Below are 20,001 nucleotides of genomic sequence, written 5' to 3' on the forward strand. Positions count from 1 at the left end.
CAGCCTGGGCGACAAAGTGAGATTCTGCTCAAAAAAAAAAAGAAAAGAAAAGAAAAGAAAAAAAAGCCATATCTTTCTTGTGTAATGTGACGATTCTGCATTACTTGCCATAAATCACATTGCATAATATGTTTAGTTCCCTAAAAAGAAATTAGTTCTGGTGCTGACTTCCACAGCACGTATAGTAAAATTGGAGTTTTTTTTACTATATGTGCTGTGGAAGTCAGCAGTCTAAGTCATGCATATTTGCAGAAAAACTGTTAGGTCGATGGGAAAGTCTGGCCTATAACCTGCTGTTTACCAGGCCGTCAAACTCTGTTTGGAGGGTCAAGTGTGAATCTTGCCATACATTATTTTCTGTTTTAAATATTTTCTTTTCTTTCTTCTTTTTTTTTTTTTTTTGAGACGGAGTTTTGCTCTTGTTACCCAGGCTGGAGTGCAATGGCGTGATCTCAGCTCACCGCAACGTCTGCCTCCCGGGTTCAAGCGATTCTCCTGCCTCAGCCTCCTGAGTAGCTGGGATTACAGGCATGTGCCACCACGCCCGGCTAATTTTTTTTTTTTTTTTTTTTTTTTGTATTTTTAGTAGAGACAGGGTTTCTCCATGTTGGTCAGGATGGTCTTGAACTCCCAACCACAGGTGATCCGCCTGCCTCGGCCTCCCAAAGTGCTGGGATTGCAGGCGTGAGCCACTATGCTTGGCCTAAGATTTTCTTCATTTATTTTCCTTTTTTTTTTTTTTTTTTTTTTTTTTGAGACGGAGTCTCGCTCTGTCGTCCAGGCTGGAGTGCAATGGCGCGATCTCGGCTCACTGCAAGCTCCGCCTCCCGGGTTCACGCCATTCTCCTACCTCAGCCTCCGGAGTAGCTGGGACTACAGGCGCCCGCCACCACGCCCAGCTAATTTTTTTTTTTAATTATTTTTAGTAGAGACGGGGTTTCACCATGTTGGCCAGGATGGTCTCTATCTCCTGAGCTCATGATCCGCCCGCCTTGGCCTCCTGAAGTGCTGGGATTACAGGCGTGCGCCACCGCGCCCAGGCTTATTTTCCAATTTATAAATGAGGCCGGGCACGGTGGCTCGTGTGTGTAATCTCAGCACTTTGAGAGGCCGAGGTGGGCAGATCACTTGAAGTCAGGAGTTCGAGACCAGCCTGGCCAAAATGGTGAAAGTCCGTCTCTACTAAAAATACAAAAAATTAGCCGGACGCGGTGGTGGGCCCTTGTAATCCCAGCTACTCGGGAGGCTGAAGCAGGAGAATTGCTTGAACCCAGGAGGCAGAGGTTGCAGTGAGCCGAGATCGTGCCACTGCACTCCTGCCTGGGCGACAGTGAGATTCCATATCAAAAAAATTTACAAATGAAACTATGCGCTATTTTCTTAGGCTTTTTGTTGAAGGTCCAGTTCTCCCATGTTTACATACCACATTTTAAAAATAGGTAGGAAAAACAATTTTTATCACTGCTTGTCTTAACCAGTACAGAACAGCAAAGCTTCTTTTAAACTATATTTACAGCACTTCAAAGAGTTTGGGAAGAAAGAATAACCTCAAGCCAGTCAGATATTTTCCATAATTATGATTTTGTATTAAAATGCAAGAGATATAGGTAGAGGATAATTTCAGTACCAAAGATAAAAATTATTTAATACTAATTTTAATGACTCCATTACATTTTAAACTCCATTAAATTTAAAGCTAATTTTAATTAGCTTTAAAAAGCTATGCTTAAATTAATAGTAATAATGAGCCTTGAATTGTTCTCTCAAACATCACTTCTGGTAGAAATGAATTATATAGTACTGACTTTCATAGTTTAAGGGAATATAACAGAGTTTTAGAAAAATACTCTTTTCTAATTAAAAAAACAAATCTCCATGTTGTGATTCCCCCATTGCTAGTCACATTTTTTTTTTTTTTTTGAGACGGAGTCTCGCCCTGTTGCCAAACTGGAGTACAGTGGCGCCATCTTGGCTCGCTGCAACCTCTGCCTCCCATGTTCAAGTGATTCTCCTGCCTCAGCCTCCCGAATAGCTGGGACTACAGGCACACGCCACCATACCCAGCTAATTTTTTTTTTGTATTTTTAGTAGAGACAGGGTTTCACCATGTTGGCCAGGATGGTCTCAATCTCTTGACCTCATAATCCTCCTGCCTTGGCCTCCCAAAGTGCTGGGATTACAGGTGTGAGCCACCGCGCCCGGCCGCTAGTCAAATTTTAAAAGGCCCAAACCCAAATGTGTTTTGTCATTTTACCCTAGGAAACTCAATGATTTTGCTTCTTTATTCTTCAAGATTATTCATCCAGACCCTGATAGGCCTGAGCACAGGTTCATTTAAACTAGAGGCTATCACAGGCGTCGTTTGGAAAGTTACATTATACACTTAACAAATGGGAAATGTTAGGCTGGGCTCGGTGGCTCACGCCTGTAATCCCAACACTTGGGGAGGCCGAGGCAGGTGGATCACCAGAGGTCAGGAGTTCGAGACCAGCCTGGCCAACATAGCAAAACCCCATCACTACTGAAAATACAAAAATTGGCAGGGCATGGTAGTGCATGCATGTAATCCCAGCTGCTCGGGAGGCTGAGGCAGGAGAATCGCTTGAACTCGGGAGGCGGAGGCTGCAGTGAGCTGAGATGGAGCCACTGCACACCAGCCTGGGCAAAACAACGAGACTCCATCTAAAAAAAAAAGGGGGGGGGGGGTGAAATATAAAACTCTTCCTTATACCTCCAAGCCCAAGCAGGTAGGGGGAATTCTTAGAGCAAATTAGACTTCCACAGGCAAATTCTTTATCCTAGTGAATCTGGATCTACCAGATAACTATAGAATCCTCTAAACTCCAAAGCCTTGGTCAACCTGTCAGTACCATCAGCATCACTGGGAGCTCATTAAAAATGTAGAATCTCAGATCTCACCCCACACCTAATGAATCCGAATCTGCCCTTTATACTGAGCTCCCCAGGTAATTTGCATGCATATTAAAGTTTGAAAAGAACTGATCTCATGAAATCTTACAGCTAACACAGAGACCTAGGAGAACAAGACCGTGCAAAAATTGAGAAGAACTTCTGTAAAATGCTGGGGGCAAGAAAATAGGGAAAACAAGAAAAGAGAAGAGTGACTTTGAGGGAAGAGTGCATATATCATTTCCTTAATACATTTCATTTTTCTTTTTTATGCCTTGTTTTGAAAAGCTACCATTATCTTGGCATGCTTTAGATGGAAACCATTTACTGTGCAGATTTCTGTTCTTGTTCTCAAAATCTATGCAAAAATATCTCGTCTAACCCCTACCATTGTGCCTGGCCCTTTGAAATGTGTTTCTTGCTGACGTGCTTGTTTCTCCTTTCCAGTCCTGACACAGCTCTCCCTGAGGAGCAGCCACATTCCAGCTCCCAGTGCGCCCCTCTCCACTGTCTCTCCAAGCCTCCTCACCCCTAGTCTTCATCTCCTGTGGACGAACATCTGGGGTGGAAGTTTTGTAGCCACACACAGGATACTGCCCAAGATCCAGCGGGTGTTTTCTTCTCGGTTGTTAGATGTACAATTGGATTAATGTCCATCGTTTTGGAAGACGAGAGAAAGTTGAGAAGAACACGAAGCACAGACCCTGATGTGATAAAACATTTTGTGGTTTCTCTGAGTCACAGATAAACTTCTGCCATCAAATGGCTACAGTTCATTTAAATTTAAAAAAAAGAAAAAAGAAACAGAAAACGTGTCTCAGATGGCTGGCTTTACCTCGATAGCATAAGAGAGACCTAAGACATGTAAAATACGTATATTGCAGTATCATCTTTCCTCACACTCCAAATTCAGCTAGGGAAGTTGATTCCAATATGTTTGTCATTGATATTTATTTTGTACTTTATTTGCTACATGATTTATGTCTATACAAATAATTTCTCTGAGGTGAATTTAATTCATTTATTTTCAAATAAGCATAATTTGCTCAATTAAGTATGAGTTTGAATTTAGTTTGAAATCTGGAATTGGCCAGACTGTGGTCATTTTTCTTGCACAAAATGATAAATGAGGTGCATCAGAATGTTAACAATAACTGTATTTTGCTGCTACGCTGGTATTGTTTAGGCACTTACTTTCTAATCAGTAGCTCATTAACTGCTGGGTTTTGTTTTTGTATTTTTAACTAGAGTTCTTCACTGGACATTACTAAGTAAATCTAAGAAAGAGACTAAGTTATGATTTATTGACTTATTCAAGTTTTGATGGCATCTTTACTTTTATTTTTTCATTGCAGTTGAGTAGATGTACTGGTGCTGCTCCTTTGTATGTGTGTATGTGTGTGATAACGTTAAAGAAGGCTCAATAACTTGAAGGGAAAAAAATGGTGTGTTTATTTAATGACCAGAATTTTTTTTACTTCTCCCAAAATCAGGGTCCTACTGAGTCTTTCCTGATAAAAGGTATCAAGTACAAATGGGAAAATATATACATATATAGATGTAAGATAGCCTTTAATTAATTAATTTACCCAGAGAGTGTTCAAAGTTTGATTAAAATTGTATGTTTTGTTGTTGTTAGTTTTTTTCATAACGAATCTTCCTTGCCAAAAAAACAATAGATAATAAACCTTAGCTCATTGTCTACTTTTGACAAACACTCAGGTGCCTACAAACATTCTATTATCTTGAGATAATACATGTTCCTGGTTAATTTACAGATTCTGCTGGGTAACTTTTATGACTTGATTTAAGGCAGTGGATTTTCATAGCAAAATTTATTTTGCACATAATCTGACAAACAAGGAAAACAGCTAACTGAGCTGAAAGGTCTAACACTCTCGGGCTCCTTAACCATCAAGTGCTGCCCACACAATTGCTCCTAGCCCTGATTCCTTGTCTTTGTCAGGTAGCCTTAACTTATTTAAAACCATAAGGGTTTGACCTTTTCATATAAAGACATCTGTAACTTCTCTTCAAAACAAAAATGACCCTCACTGTTAACACAAAGGACAGTTACCAGTGTAGGGCACTGAGAAAGGAGATCCAGGAGCCACTCAGCTTATTGAGCGGACATGGGTGGCACAGAAATGGAGTGGTCCATCAGAGACCAAATGGTAAGTCGTAAAGCACATTGCAGGAGCTTTCGTTAGTCATACGCCTATTAAGTAGTGGTCGCTATTACCAAAGCAACCAGGACGTTTTGTGTTCTTTATATGAGTGCTATTTTCCACAGTGTCATTTATTATGCAACGTGGAGTAAAGAGTTGAAATCTTCACCAAAATAAGGGTTCAGGTTAAAGTACAGAAACAGAAACAAAACGATTCGACATGAAGTTCCCAACCATAGCAGCCTAACCTTCTGCTCTTTTCTACCTGCATGGCCTTGCTGTTCCTAAACATTGTCTTCATTTCACTGGCGTTGTATCTGCCTAGTACCAGTATTAGTGAGACTGTGGATTTTATCAGAGTTCAATGAAAGAAAGCTTACCCCTGCCCTCACTTTGTGTTTTTTATTTTTCCCCCTTTCTCAAGCACCACGTATTTGGACCTGAGAAGTGGCATAGCTGCTAAGTTGACTTTTAATAAAAAACTGTTTGTGCCTGAGGGAAATATATGCCTTTTTAAAAAGTACCTCAGAACATGTTCGTAGATCGTCTCATCGGTTTTGTTTGGTGGGACTGGGAGTTCAGCAGGAAGTATTGTCTGTGTGTGATGACGGGGCAGTATTGCCAGTCGGCAATGTTGTATTTGCATTCTTTATCCCTAACTCTGAATCTAGGACTCCATGAAAAGCCGGGTCACCCACAAAACATTTCTTCCAATACAAAGTGTATTATTACGTCTATTATAAACTAGTTTCATTTCAGTTATTTATCTTCATAGAGTGGGAAAGTCTTTTTCTGAAATACTAATTCTATGAAAATAATAATTTTAGTGAATCTTTGCCAAGAAGTTATAGAAACTTGGAAATAAATTTCTCATTTTCAGCACAAAATTAAGTGATAGTCCCTAAGCAGTAAGAGAGAATACCATGTATTTACACTGTGGCATCATTTAGTATAGTTTACACTGAGCCATATTTATTTATAGGCATTTAAAGTGAATCAGTATGTGTAGTGTTGATAAAAATCAGTATCTGTAAAGATAACATCAGGAATTCAAAAGGAAATTGAAAAGGGGCAGAACTAGTGAGAACCAAAAAGAATGAACTCCAGTAAGACTAATTGAAGACATACTTGGAGAGGAAAAATAAACAGCAGAAATGCACTAAAAAATACTGGCTAATTATTGCAAACAGAGTGAGCAAAGATTAATGCTAACTAGTAAAAGTAGTTAGCAAAGTAAACAGGTAGTTTTTTAAAAGTAAGCACAATTACAATATTGAATAGTATGGAGAAATGCTTTTCTCCTGAGGATTTTCCTTAATCAAAAAATAAGAAGAAGCAATAAATTGTCTTTGGCCTGAGTGCTGAGTGGCATAAATAAAGGAGCTTGGCTTAATCTTTCTGGTCCACACATAATCCATTAGATCCCATTCATATATCCAACTCTGGATTCTAATAAAATAATTTGGAGAACTTTGAGAAAAAGGAAAACTGTTAAATAAGAAAAGACCTATTTAGAAATTATACTTTAGTCTAACGAAGAGGAGGTACAATAGTAGTCTTCAAGAAAAGAATATTTAACAAATGATAGATATCAGCTATAGATATTGTTACTAAGTCTAGAATAAAAAAGGCTTCAGTGTGAAGGATGTATAGTAACTCTAGGAAAGAGATTTTTAACACTGGGAAATTAACGTGGAAATTGATAATCATAAAGAATATTTGTTTTGTAAAAATTGAATATCATTGGTGGTCTAGTAAGTATTAAGTGGCAAGATAGGAGAATGCATTTCAGTTCTGGGAGCTCATAATCCTGTGATTCTTTTATTTTAAGTTTTAAAATACATTAAAATTTTACTGGTTAATCATAAAATATTTTATATTTGAAAATAGGATGGCAATCTTTATTTTTCCAAGATATTTGTTGGAAAAAAATGATCGTTGGTATTATTTTTTCTTTCAGCTATATTCCATGGTATCTTTAAAATTGTTCAGAATATAGGACTTTTACTAAAAAAATTCAATTGTCAGAGTCTAAAAAAACAATGTCCTCAGGAATACTTCAGAAATAGAAGGTATGCAATCCCTTAGTGGGGGGCAAACACATTTCAGATTTCGTCTTTATTTAAAAGGATCTTCAGTCTACAACATTTGCTTTTTTCGTGCTTTGGAAAATATCCTTGTGCAGATAAGTTCTTCTGTTTGAAACAAGCATGAAACATTGGTCCAATAACCTAAGAATGTGGAGATTTCTTGATATTCTGTATTAATTAAAGTTCTCTACATGTCTCAAATGGAGATCACAAAACATGAAAAGGAAGAAATGAAATATCTTTTCTTCTGGGATGAGTGTCAATTTTAATGTATAATTGTCATAATCAATCAGCCAAAAGTTACAATCTGTCCCTCAGAGACATTGGGGGAAGCTGATGGATTTCCAGTAAGGAACTGTGGTGGGTTCAAACTCAGGCTGCCACAAATACATTGATATGGTAGGTAGGAAGTAGGACTAAATTTGAAAGAAACTTATGGGATAAAGTTCACAATTTTAAAAAGGTTGCCCTCCAGTTTTTTTGTTTGTTTATAAACTAGAGTGATTTTTAAGTAACCCTTATATTTAAGGCTGCAAAAAATGTACAAGAGTATGTTTTCAAGTAAAGGGAACATAATTCTTCAAAAAGCTGTTGAACTGGAGTTATGATAGGTTATGACAGAGAGCATGATCAGTGCTGATACTGACAAGTACTTTTTTACCTTAAAATCAACTTCTATGGAACTACAAGATCAATCTAGCTCCCGAGTGACATTTTCCATTGTCTGTAATAATGCCCTCGGATGAGTTGTGTCTAAAATTAAGTTCATCTTTATTTATATGCGAACTTAACTGCCATAGTCCCTAATGTATTGCGTTTGTAACCTGATCGTATTATGTTTACAGCTGAAAGATTTCATCTAGACATGTCTTTCGTCCTTATTATTCAAAGTGTAATTGAAAGAGATATTTAGTATTAAGACATGTTCCCCAATTGAGAATTTTCCAGAATATTCTACTTAAGAAGAAGAAGAGCAATTAACTGCCTTTAGTGTAAGGGCGAGAGTGCATAGAAATATGCAATGTAAAATGTTTGCATGAATTATTTCACATCATGTAAGCTTTCCCATATTCATAAGATGAACACTATAGAAGTCTCATTTCTCTGTGATCTTCTGTCCATTAGGAAAGTAAGGAGATTGTTATCTATATCTAGTCTCCTTTCCATATTGAACTGCATGGCTCTAATCCTCAGTGTATTTTTATCCCTTCTCGAGTTATTTAAAATTTGCCCTATTTAAGCTGAAGCCTGGATAAACTGCTGAGCCAGATTATTCCTGTGATTGGAGTTTAATTGCTGTAGAACACTTGTTGAGAACACATTTTTTACTTTTTTTCTTTCAGAATTATTCCTCAATCATTGTTCTCTAATGAAAACACCGAGAAGTAAATCTGGTGCTTCTTAGTGTAAATATGTTTTTCTTTTTAAAAAGTCATTTTAAAACAAAGATGAGAGAACTATAAAGTAAGGGGAAATATCATTTTATTTAAAAATAATTATTCAATGATAGATAATGGAGATACAGAATGACTCATTGGGTTCATAGGTATGATTTGTGCAGCCAGTCTTAGAGGAAATACATCATTTTAACATTATTCCCACAAAATGTTAAAGCTCAATGGTTTGACTATGAGAGTCAAACAATTACTATTTGAAAATCTCTTATGACATTTTTATAATCTACTCTGTTTTTATTTGCATGATTATGCTTATGTGATGAACCATCCATGATTCTGATATTGTATTTCTTTCCAGTATTAACATGTGTATTGTGTGGCCAACTCTGATTTGTACACCGTATTATTGTTGTAATGATTCAACTGTTCCTACATTTAATTGCAGTTTAATTATTATGCCTTTTGGGGTTAAATGATGTGAAGTGTTTCCACCTACTGATAAATACCATATGAAAACACGACTAAAAGACTGATTTAAGAAACTTGTTATTTTTAAAAATATGAATTTCAAAAGAAATGTTCTCAAAGACACATGCATTTATTTTAAATTCAAAAAATTCTTATGAATTTATTATTGCTTGTACTTTAACTTTTTTTATTGTAGACAATCCTAAGTGAATAATGTCTCATGGGAGAACACATGATATGTGCTTGTATTTGTGTAATCTGATCATGCACTCAATGGTTGGAAAAGGCACTCCAGTGCTAAGAAAATAACCAGAAGCCAATATATCGATTCTTATATCTCGGTTTATGTTACCAACTGAATATGGTGTAATGCATAACTTTTTCCAGTAAATAAACTGGTTATTTTTTGTTCATTTCATTAATGCTGCCTTTTTATCAATTTGAGCAGTTTTTCTGTATGTCATTTTGATGTATACTTACAAAAAGGAAAAGACTATATGAATTCAGATGTGATCTATATGTTTATTCAAAGTAAGAACTTATTTGAACTAAAAACTAAATGCTTTGCTTTAACAACAATTCTATACATTCCTGGTAAGTAATGTGTATCAACTCTGCTCATTTCCTCCAGTTATCACCTCTTCTACTTGTAATCTTTTCTAGAAAGCTATTTTGGCAGGAGGATATACTTGGCTGAATTTGATTAGAAATGTACCAACATGAAGAAAATGCTTGCCCTAAAACAGGAAACATTATTTTGATGAAAGAAGAATGAAGTTTCTATGCATTATTTTGGGAGACAATTCCTCTTTGTTCTTTTTGGAACAGCAGAGTTCCAAAACTTTGAGGGAGGTTAATTTTCTAGCTCCTCCTACAAATACATATTGTAGTAAATCAGCTGCTTTGGGAACCATCCACTTTGATTCGATTTTATTTAAAGGGTGGAGGAGGGGGAGAGGCAGATAGAACATGGTGTTCTAGTGAGTTAAAACGTCTAATGCAATCCTCATTATAGCTAATCAAATTCGTGCAACACGGGCAGCCAACATCCTGGCAAAAGCTGTCTGCTCACCTGTTGCATAAATACAACACTAGAAATAATAATGTAAACTTTTCTACAAATTTCTCCTTTTTCTCTTCCAAAAGCTTTTGTTTTTCTTGGAGGTTGGATCTATAAGTCTATTTGATACTTGACTTTCTCTTACATGATAAAGCTGATAGTCTGCCACATTCAAAAGTGAAAACAGCTGGACGCATCAAGAAAGTCTCTTCTCATCTATACATTTTGCAGGCAACTTGGACAGCCTATATTGCAACCCACAAGGGATGAGAAAGAGAGCAGAATCGATGGGAACTTGTGGAAGGGATTTCCGTCTTCTTCTTCTTCTTCTTCTTCTTCTTCTTCTTCTTCTTCTTCTTCTTCTTTTCTTCTTCTTTCTTCTTCTCCTTCTCCTTCTCTTCTCCTCTTCTTCCTCTTCCTCTTCTTCCTTCTTCCTTCTTTCTTCTTCTTCTTCTTTTTTAAAGAGGGAGTCTTGCTCTGTCTCCCAGGCTGGAGTGCAGTGGCATGATCTTGGCTCACTGCAACCTCCGACTTCCTGGTTCAAGCTATTTTCGTGCCTCAGCCTCCTGAGTAGCTGGGATTACAGGCACGTACCACCATGCCCAGCTAATTTTTGTATTTTTAGTAGAGACGGGGTTTCACCATGTTGGACAGGATGGTCTTCATCTCCTGACCTCATGATCCACCCGCCTCGGCCTCCCAAAGTGCTGGGATTACAGGCGTGAGCCACCGCACCCAGCCGGATTTTTTTTTTCTTTTGAAACATGGCCTCACTCTGCCACCCAGGCAGGAGTGCAGTGGGATGATCTTGGCTCACTGCAGCCTCGACCCCCTGGGCTCAAATGATTCTGCCACCTCGGCCTCCCAAGTAGTTGGGATCACAGGCATATACCACCATGCCTGGCTAATTGTTTAATTTTTTTGTACAGATGAGGTCCCACTATGTTGCCTAGGCTGGTCTTGAGCTCCTAGACTCAAGTAATTCTCTCATCTCAGACACTGAAAGTGTTGTGATTACAGACATGAGCCACCTCGCCCAGCCAGGAAAGGATTTTCTTGGTTTTTGGTCGTACACATGCTGACTAGCACATTGTAGGAACTCAGTCAATTTTGAATTAGAGTAGTTGTTCCTGAGAAGTGAGTTTCTTGGCTTCTTGACATCTAGCTTTCTCATAAGACATCCAGAATTGAGTTTACAGAACCTAATGTCACCTACTTATATAATTACAGCAGGCACTAAATATCAACTAATTGGGGGAAATGGCCTTTAAATTAAGTGAATGCTTATTCCTGTCATTCTGTCTTAGTGAATCTAAAAACTAGATCTCTTAACACTGTAATAGGAGGCTAAGTATGTATGATGAAATAATCTAAGAATTCTTTTTTTTGTGTGTGTGACAAGATCTTGCTCTGTTGCCCAGGCTGGAATGCACTGGCAAGATCACAGTTCACTGCAGCCCTGACCTCATAGGCTCAACTGATCCTCCCACTGCAGCCTCCCAAGTAGCTAGGACCACAGGTGCACACCATCATGCCCAGCTAATTTTTTATTTTTTGTAAAGATGAGGTCTCCCTATGTTGCCCAGTCTGGTCTGAAAGCCCTAGACTCAAGCAATCCTCCTGCCACAGACTCCCAAAGTGCTGGGATTACACAGGCATGAGCCACCATGCCCAGTTGAGTTTCTTAATTTATGAATCAAGTACACTTAAATGCTTTAGAAGACCCTCAGAATAATTAATCCACAAAATAACTGTCAAGGAAGATAAATCTCTGGGAAAAATATTTCAAGTGTCAAAAGTAAACAATTTATAATATAATTTGAATGTAGGAAGCAACATAAAGATAAATAAATCATAAATATAGTGGCTTCTTGTTAAATAGTAAAGAAATGTTACAGAATACCTTGTTGCCTTCTTTTCTTTTTTCCTTTTTTTTTTTTGAGATGGAGTCTCGCTCTGTCGCCCAGCCTGGAGTGCAGTGGCGCGATCTCGGCTCACTGCAAGCTCTGCCTCGTGGATTCATGCCATTCTCCTGCCTCAGCCTCCTGAGTAGCTGGGACTACAGGCACCTGCCACCACGCCCAGCTAATTTTTTTGTATTTTTAGTAGAGATGGGGTTTCACCATGTTAACCAGCATGGTCTCAATCTCCTGACCTCGTGATCCACCCGACTTGGCCTCTCAAAGTGCTGGGATTACAGACGTGAGCTACTGCGCCTGGCCCCCCCTTTTTTTTTTTAAAGATTAATTTATTTATTTAGTTTTTAGTTTTCAGTTTCACTCGTTGCTCAGGCTGGAGTACAATGGGGCGATCTCAGCTCACTGCAACCTCCACCTCCCAGGTTCAAGCGATTCTCCTACCTCAGCCTCTGGAGTAGCTGGGACTACAGGCGCCTGCCACCACGCCCAGCTAATTTTTGTATTTTTAGTAGAGATGGGGTTTCACCATGTTGGCCAGCCTGGTCCCAAACTCCTGATGTCAGGTGATCCACCTGCCTTGGCCTCCCAAAGTGCTTGGAATACAGGTGTAAGCCACCGCCCCCGGCCCCTCATTTTCCTTATTATCTATATCAGTAGGGGATAAAAGAAAGATAATTCAGTAAGTTAGCTTCTGTTACTACTAAAGTCAGGTGAAAGACTATAAATAGTAGGATAGATGTATGTTTCATATCCCAAGATGGGCTTTATCTAATTTGCTAGTCCCAGTGCAAAATGAAAATGCGGGGCTCCTTGATCAAAAAATAAGAAGAATTTCAAGACAGTGATAGCAATGCATTAGGCCAAACATGAGGTCCTTCTAAGCACAGGGCTTTGTTTGACTGCAGGGATCCACAGGCCATGAAGCCAGCCATGCCCCAGAATATGCTGAAATAATGATTCAGGATCTCAACACTGAATGTAGCTATTCAGAAACTGGGCTTTGGTGACCAGGCGCTGTGGCTCACGCCTGTAATCCCACCACTTTGGGAGGCTGAAGCAGGTGGATCACGAGGTCAGGAGTTTGAGACCAGCCTGACCAACATGGTGAAACCCCGTCTCTACTAAAAATACAAAAATTAGCCAGACTTGGTGGTGTGCACCTGTAATCCCAGCTACTCAGGAGGTTGAGGCAAGAGAATGGCTTGAAACCAGGAAGCAGAAGTTGCAGAGAGCTGAGATTGTGCCACTGTGCTCCAGCCTGGGTGACAGAGTGAGACACTGTCTCCAAAAAAAAAAAAAAAAGTTATAAAAAAAAAGAAACTGGGCTTTGTTTTTAACAAAATATACTTCTAAGTTTCTGTGCTTGGAAGGAAAAATACTAATGTGTTTACGTCCTGGGGAAAAATATTTAATGCTAATATATCAATGAGTTCTAAAGTTGAATCTTGCAATACTTCCTTATTCCAATGTAGCCATAACATGTCAACTCAAAATTTCTAAACAACTCTGATATGTGTATCAGGTCATACTAAGATTATAAAAATCTTTAAATCTTTAAAAAAGCAACAGTAGACATTTTAATTAGTGTATATTAAAGTAAAACTAATTTAAGAACCCTACTGATACTTTTATAGTTTGATGTCCTTTGAAGTTGTAAAATATTAATAATGTCAGTCAAATGTCACAGGAAGATTTGCCTAACTGAAAAGAGCTATTAGTCCAAGATTAATCAGTGATTCATATCAACCTTTATTCCAAATAAATAAAAAAAGAAATTATTTACCTAATTGAAATCCATTTATTTTGAATATACGGGTGCTCATGTGTAGTAAACCACCCTATATGTAAAAAAAGGATAATATAAAAATATATAGTAAGTGTTTCTTGTTTTGGATAAAGTAACAGTGGAAACCAATAGAAATGGTTATCTGTAAAAGAGCAGAGGGTATGATAAAAGGGTGGAAGCCAGACTCTTTCAGTGCACGAATGCCTTTCTTACATATTGTTTTCAGCCATGTAAATAAATGATTTATCCAAAGGAAAAAAATTAAGATAACGTGGGCTCTCAAAAATTTCACAATGAAGCCATAAATAAAAGCACAAAATCGGCCGAGTGCGGTGGCTCACGCCTGTAATCCCAGCACGTTGGGAGGCCGAGGCGGGCAGATGACGAGGTCAGGAGATCGAGACCATCCTGGCTAATGCGGTGAAACCCCTTCTCTACTAAAAATAAATACAAAAAAATTAGCCGGGCATGGTGGTGGGTGCCTGTAGCCCCAGCTACTCCGGAGGCTGAGGCAGGAGAATGGCGTGAACCCGAGAGCTGGAGCTTGCAGTTAGCCGAGATCGTGCCACGGCACTCCAGCCTGGGCGACAGAGCGAGACTCCATCTCAAAACAAACAAACAAAAAGTGCACAAAATCTAGATGAGTATTTGTTCCATAGCAGACTATGTCAGCAGAACTATTTTTAAAAACACAAAATTTTATTCAAATTCTAACCCTGGCACGCACTTACTAGCTCTGTCACTTTAGAAAGGTTCTTACCCTCTCCAAGCTTAAGTGGTCTTGTTTTTCAAACAAGGATTAAAAATTGCCTACTTGGGCTGGGCACAGTGGCTCATGCCTGTAATCCCAGCACTTTGGGACGCCACGGCGGCTGGATCACCCGACATCGGGGGAAAAAAAGCCGGCTGGGTGGATCACTTGAGGTCAGGAGTTTGAGACCAGCCTGGCCAACATGGTGAAACCCCGGCTCTAAATCAGCCAGGTGTGGTGGCCGTGGTTGTAATCCCCAGCTATTTGGGAGACTGAGAGAGGGAGAATTGCTTGAACCTGGGAGGTGGAGGTTGCAGTGAGCCAAGATAGTGCCACTGCACTCCAGTCTGGGCAACAGAGCAAAACCTAGCAAAACAAACAAACAAACAAACAAAAACAGCCTACTTGGCAAGGTTATTGCAAAGATTAAATGAAATAACATATATAACAACTTTCAACCAGTGTTTAGTCTTTAGTAGCTATTATTATTATTAAGAGTTTCGCTCTTGTTGCCCAGGCTGCAGTGTAATGGGCGATCTCGGCTCACAGCAACCTCCACCTCTCGTGTTCAAGCAATTCTCCTGCCTCAGCCTCCCAAGTAGCTGGGATTACAGGCATGCACCACTACACCTAGCCAATTTTTTGTATTTTTAGTAGAGACGGGGTTTTACCATGTTAGCCAGGCTGGTCCCTTAACTCCTGACCTCAAGTGATCCACCCACCTCGGCCTCCCAAAGTGTTGGGATTACAGGTGTGAGCCACCGGTGCCCAGCCGATACTACTGTTTTTTGTGTCTCTTTCCATCCATGGTACATATATGATAGTAACTTCCAAAAGGTATGAACCTTCGTTTTCTTCCCTAATGCATCTTAAACGCCTAGAGTAGAATCTGGCACAAAATAAGTTCTCAATAGTTGGTGAATTGCCAGGCGCGGTGGCTCACGCCTGTAATCCTAGCACTTTGGGAGACCGCGGCGGGCAGATCATGAGGCCAGGCGATTGAGACCATCCTGGCTAACACGGTGAAACCCCGTCTCTACTAAAAGTACAAAAAATTAGCCGTGCATGGTGGCCGGCGCCTGTAGTCCCCGCTACTCGGGAGGCTGAGGCAGAATGGCGTGAACCCGGGAGGCGGAGCTTGCAGTGAGCCGAGATCGTGCCACTGCACTCCCGCCTGGGTGACAGAGACTCTCCATCTCAAAAAAAAAAACTTGCTGAATTAAGGAATGTATAAGTGAATGAATGAATTTCACACATGTCAATATATAGGACTCCAATTATCTAGGTACTGTTATTAAAAATAATATTAGTGGCTGGGTGCAGTGGCTCACAACTGTAATCCCAGCACTTTGGGAGCCTGAGGTGGGCAGATCACCTGAGGTCCTGAAAAAAAAAGCAGCTGGGCGTGGTGGCGTGCACCCCTAATCCCAGCTACTCGGGGAGGCTGAAACAAGTGAATCCCTTGAACCGGGGGGGCGGGGGGTTGCAGTGAGCCGGGATCGCACCACTGCACTCCAGCCTTGGCAACAGACGGAGACTCTGTCTCAAATAAACGAACAGAAAAGAGTTGCATGATAATTATATAACTATCATAGTATTGTATCCGGAATTGTTGGGTTCTTGGTCTTGAGGCCCTGGACCCTCACAGTGAATATTACAGTTCTTACACACTGTGTGTCCGGAGTCTTTTCTTTCCTATGTTCAGATGTGTCTGGAGTTTATTCTTTCTGGTGGGTTTGTAGCCCCCCTGGCTCCCGGAGTGAAGCTACAGACCTTCCCAGTGAATGTTACAGCTTAAACACAGCAGCAGACCCAAAGACTGAACAGCAGTAAGATTTATTGCGAAGAGCAAAAGAACAAAACCTCTACTACCTAAAAGTGGACCGAGCCGATTGCTGCTACTAGCGGTGGCCTGCTTTTATTCCTTTATTTGGCCCCACCCACATCCTGTTGATTGGTCCATTTTACAGAGAGCTGATTGGTCCGCTTTACAGAGCGCTGATTGGTCCGTTTTGACAGAGTGCTGATTGGTGCGTTTACAAACCTTTAGGCAGACACAGAGTGCTGATTGGTGCATTTACAATCCTTTAGCTAGACAGAAAAGTTCTCAAGTCCCCACCCCACCCAGAAGCCCAGCCAGCTTCACCTCTCAATGGCACTCACCGCTGCGGGACTTTGCGGCACGTAGCCCGGGCACTCTGGCAGCCCAGAGGGAACTCGTCCCCCCGATCAAACCCAGCAGGCGCCAGCCGGTCGCGCCGAGTGCGGGGCTTGCCGAGCCCGCGCTCACCTGGAACTCGCGCCGACCCGCGAGCGCCGCGCGCACCCCTGGCTCTTGCAGCGCCTCTCTCTTCACACTTCCGCGAGAGCAGAGGGAGCCGGCTCAGGCCTCGGCCAGCCCCAGAGAGGGGCCCTCATAGCGCAGTGGCGGGCTGAAGGGCCTCCTCGAGTGCGGCCAGAGCGGACGCCGAGGCGGAGGAGGCGCTGAGAGCGAGCAAGGGCTGCTAGCACGTTGTCATCTCTCAGTATGTTAGATTATGAAACTGTAAGGTAAAAATAAAAAGAACAGGGAAAAAAGATTGTGTCAGATTGGGATAGGGAGAAAGTAAAACAGATTATTAAATGGGGTGATCAGGTCGGGCCTCATCACAAAGATGAAATAAGAAAAAAAATATTTCTTTTCACATCATGGTTGCTTCAGTTTTAAAAAATATTAAGTCATCTATATACAATTTTTTTTCAATTTTTGTAGAACTAATTGTCCATCTAAAAATATCAGACCAGGTGCAGTGGCTCACGCTTATAATCCCAGCACTTTGGGAGGCCAAGGCAGGAGGATCAATTTGAGGTCAGGAGTTTGAGACCACCATAGGCAATATAATGAGTCCTCATCTCTATTAAAAAATTAGCCAAGCATGGTGGTACGTGCTGGTAGTCCCAGCTACAGAATCTGAGGTGTGAGGACTGCTTGACCCCAGGAGTTTAATGCCACAGTTAGCTTTGATCACACCACTGTACTCCAGCCTGGGTGACAGAGGGAGACTGTCTCAAAAAAATAAAAATAAATATCAAACAACAATTAACATTAAGTAATAGCATTTTCAAAAACTATTATTTTAAAATTGTGTAATAGGCATAACCATTACGAAATATGCATATATATATATATATATATTTTTTTTTTTAAGAGACAGGGTTGGCTGGGCATGGTGGCTCAAGCCTGTAATCTCAGCACTTTGGGAGGCTGAGGCGGGCGGATCACGAGGTCAGGAGATCAAGAGCATCCTGGCCAACATGGTGAAACCCCGTCTCTACTAAAAATACAAAAATAGCTGGGCGTGGTGGCGTGCCCCTGTAGTCCCAGCTACTCAGGAGACTGAGGCAGGAGAATCGTTTGAATTCGGGAGGTGGAAGTTGCATTGAGCGGGGATCACGTCACTGCACTCCAGCCTGGGCGCCAGAGCAAGACTCCTCTGTCACAAAAAAAAAAAAAAAAAAAAGACAGGGTCTTGCTGTGTTGCCCAAGCTGGACTTGAACGCCTGGGCTCAAGGAGTCCTCCTGCCTCAGCCTCCCAAGTAGCTAAGACTGCAGGTGTGCACCGTCGTGCCCAGCTAATATGCATATATTTTATTTCATGACAGTGTTTCTTTAAAATCCCAATATTTATTTTACAAGTAGATATCATTCCTTCTTGAAGCTTTGGTATTTGTCCACTTAGGTTTCTCCTTTAAATATTTGTATCAAATAATTTAACTCAACTGCCTTATTGATAACTGTAACTCCTTTTTTTTTTTTTGAGATAGAGTCTCGCTCTGTCACTCAGGCTGGAGTGCAATGGCGAGATCTCAGCTCACTGCAACCCCCACTTCCCGGGTTCAAGCCGTTGACCTGCTTCAGCCTCCCTAGTACCTGGGATTACAGGCATGCATGACCACGCCCGGCTAATTTTTTTTGTTTTTAGTAGAGACAGGGTTTCTGCATGTTGGTCAGGCTGGTCTCAAACTCACGACCTCAGGTGACCCACCTGCCTTGGCCTCCCACAGTGCTGAGATTACAGGCATGAGCCACTGTGCCTGGCCCTTTTTTTTTTTTTCCTTTTTTTGAGACAGAGTCTCATTCTGTCACCCAGGCTGCATGCAGTGCAGTGGCGTGATCTCGGCTCACTGCAATCTCCACCTCCCTGGTTCAAGCAATTACCCTCCCTCAGCCTCCCAAGTAGCTTGGATTACAGGCGCACGCCATCACGTCTGGCTAATTTTTTTGTGTTTTTAGTAGGTACGGGGTTTCACCATTGTTGGCCAGACTGGTCTCGAACTCCTAACTTCAGGCGATCCACCCACCTTGGCCTCCCAAAGTGTTGGGATTACAGGCATTAGCCACCTCACCCAGCCAACTGTCAATTCTAATGACCTTGTAATTGACTGTATAAATAATCCTTGAGATAAGTCATAATGTTATTTTTCAACATATAGTCAGAAACTAGGCTATTTTTTCTTCTGGTCCTTAATTCCAACTCTTCTCCTTGAATGACCCTTTCGTCCAGATTTTCTATAAAATTAAGGGCAACTTTTAAATATTTTCTCATAAACTTCCTAATACAAAACTAAGAACTATTATTACATTGATGGTTGGGTGCAGTGGCTCATGCCTGTGATCCCAGCACTTTGGGAGGCCGAGGCAGGAGGATTGCTTGAGGCCAAAAGTTCAAGACCAACCAGGCCAACATAGCAAAAACCTTTCTCTAAAAATTAAAAATAAAAAGAAGTATTATTTCCCTGGGCGCAGTGGCTCATGTCTGTAATCCTGGCACCTTGGGAGGCTGAGGTGGGCGGATCACCTGAGGTCAGGAGTTCGAGACCAGCCTGGCCAACATGGTGAAACCCCGTCTCCACTAAAAATACAAAAAAATTAGCTGGGCGTGGTGGTGAGTACCTGTAATCCCAGCTACTTGGGAGGCTGAGGCAGGAGACTTGCTTGAACCCGGGAAGTGGAGGTTTCAGTGAGCTGAGATCACACTATTGCACTCCAGCCAGCCTGGGCAACAAGACTGAGACTCCGTCTCAAAAAAAAAAAAAAAAAAAAAGGAGTATTATTACATTGCTAAGCTTTGCATTAGTTTTTTGGTTTTTTTTTTGTCAATGTTACCATTTTTCTTAGGTTTATATAGATTCAAACTTCAAAGTTGGCTATTTCAGTAGAATTAACAGCAATTAGTATATATTTAAAAGTCAGCCTTTTCTTTATTCACATGAATAGTTGTCCTAATTCTCGGTTACTTTATTAGAAAATAAAGGCCATGGTACTAAATATGTTTATGTAATATGGAAAGGGCATCATCACATTCTATACCTAGGTAAGTACTAGGAGTACTTAACAAATATCAAACAGCTGGGTGTGGTGGCTCACACCTGTAATCCCAGCACTTTGGGAGGCCGAGGCTGGCGGATCACT

At 40.7% G+C, this 20,001-nt stretch overlaps 1 protein-coding gene across 14 annotated transcripts in view; it reads left to right on the forward strand.

The window, feature by feature from the left end:
• The window catches only part of BICD1 (BICD cargo adaptor 1), a 276,787-nt gene extending 267,336 nt beyond the window's left edge, over positions 1 to 9,451 (forward strand). For all 14 annotated transcript variants that reach the window (NR_148725.2, NM_001413168.1, NM_001354186.2 and 11 more), the window contains one exon: positions 3,358 to 9,451. Coding sequence is in view for 9 of the 14 variants with exons in the window: in NM_001413158.1 (NP_001400087.1) it covers positions 3,358 to 3,560 (203 nt within the window). In the remaining 5 variants the exon portion in view is untranslated. The remainder of the gene's footprint in view (positions 1 to 3,357) is intronic.
• Positions 9,452 to 20,001: the final 10,550 nt, after the last annotated feature.

The sequence above is a fragment of the Homo sapiens genome, chromosome 12 (genome assembly GCF_000001405.40).
Source record: "Homo sapiens chromosome 12, GRCh38.p14 Primary Assembly".
Taxonomy (NCBI): domain Eukaryota; kingdom Metazoa; phylum Chordata; class Mammalia; order Primates; family Hominidae; genus Homo; species Homo sapiens.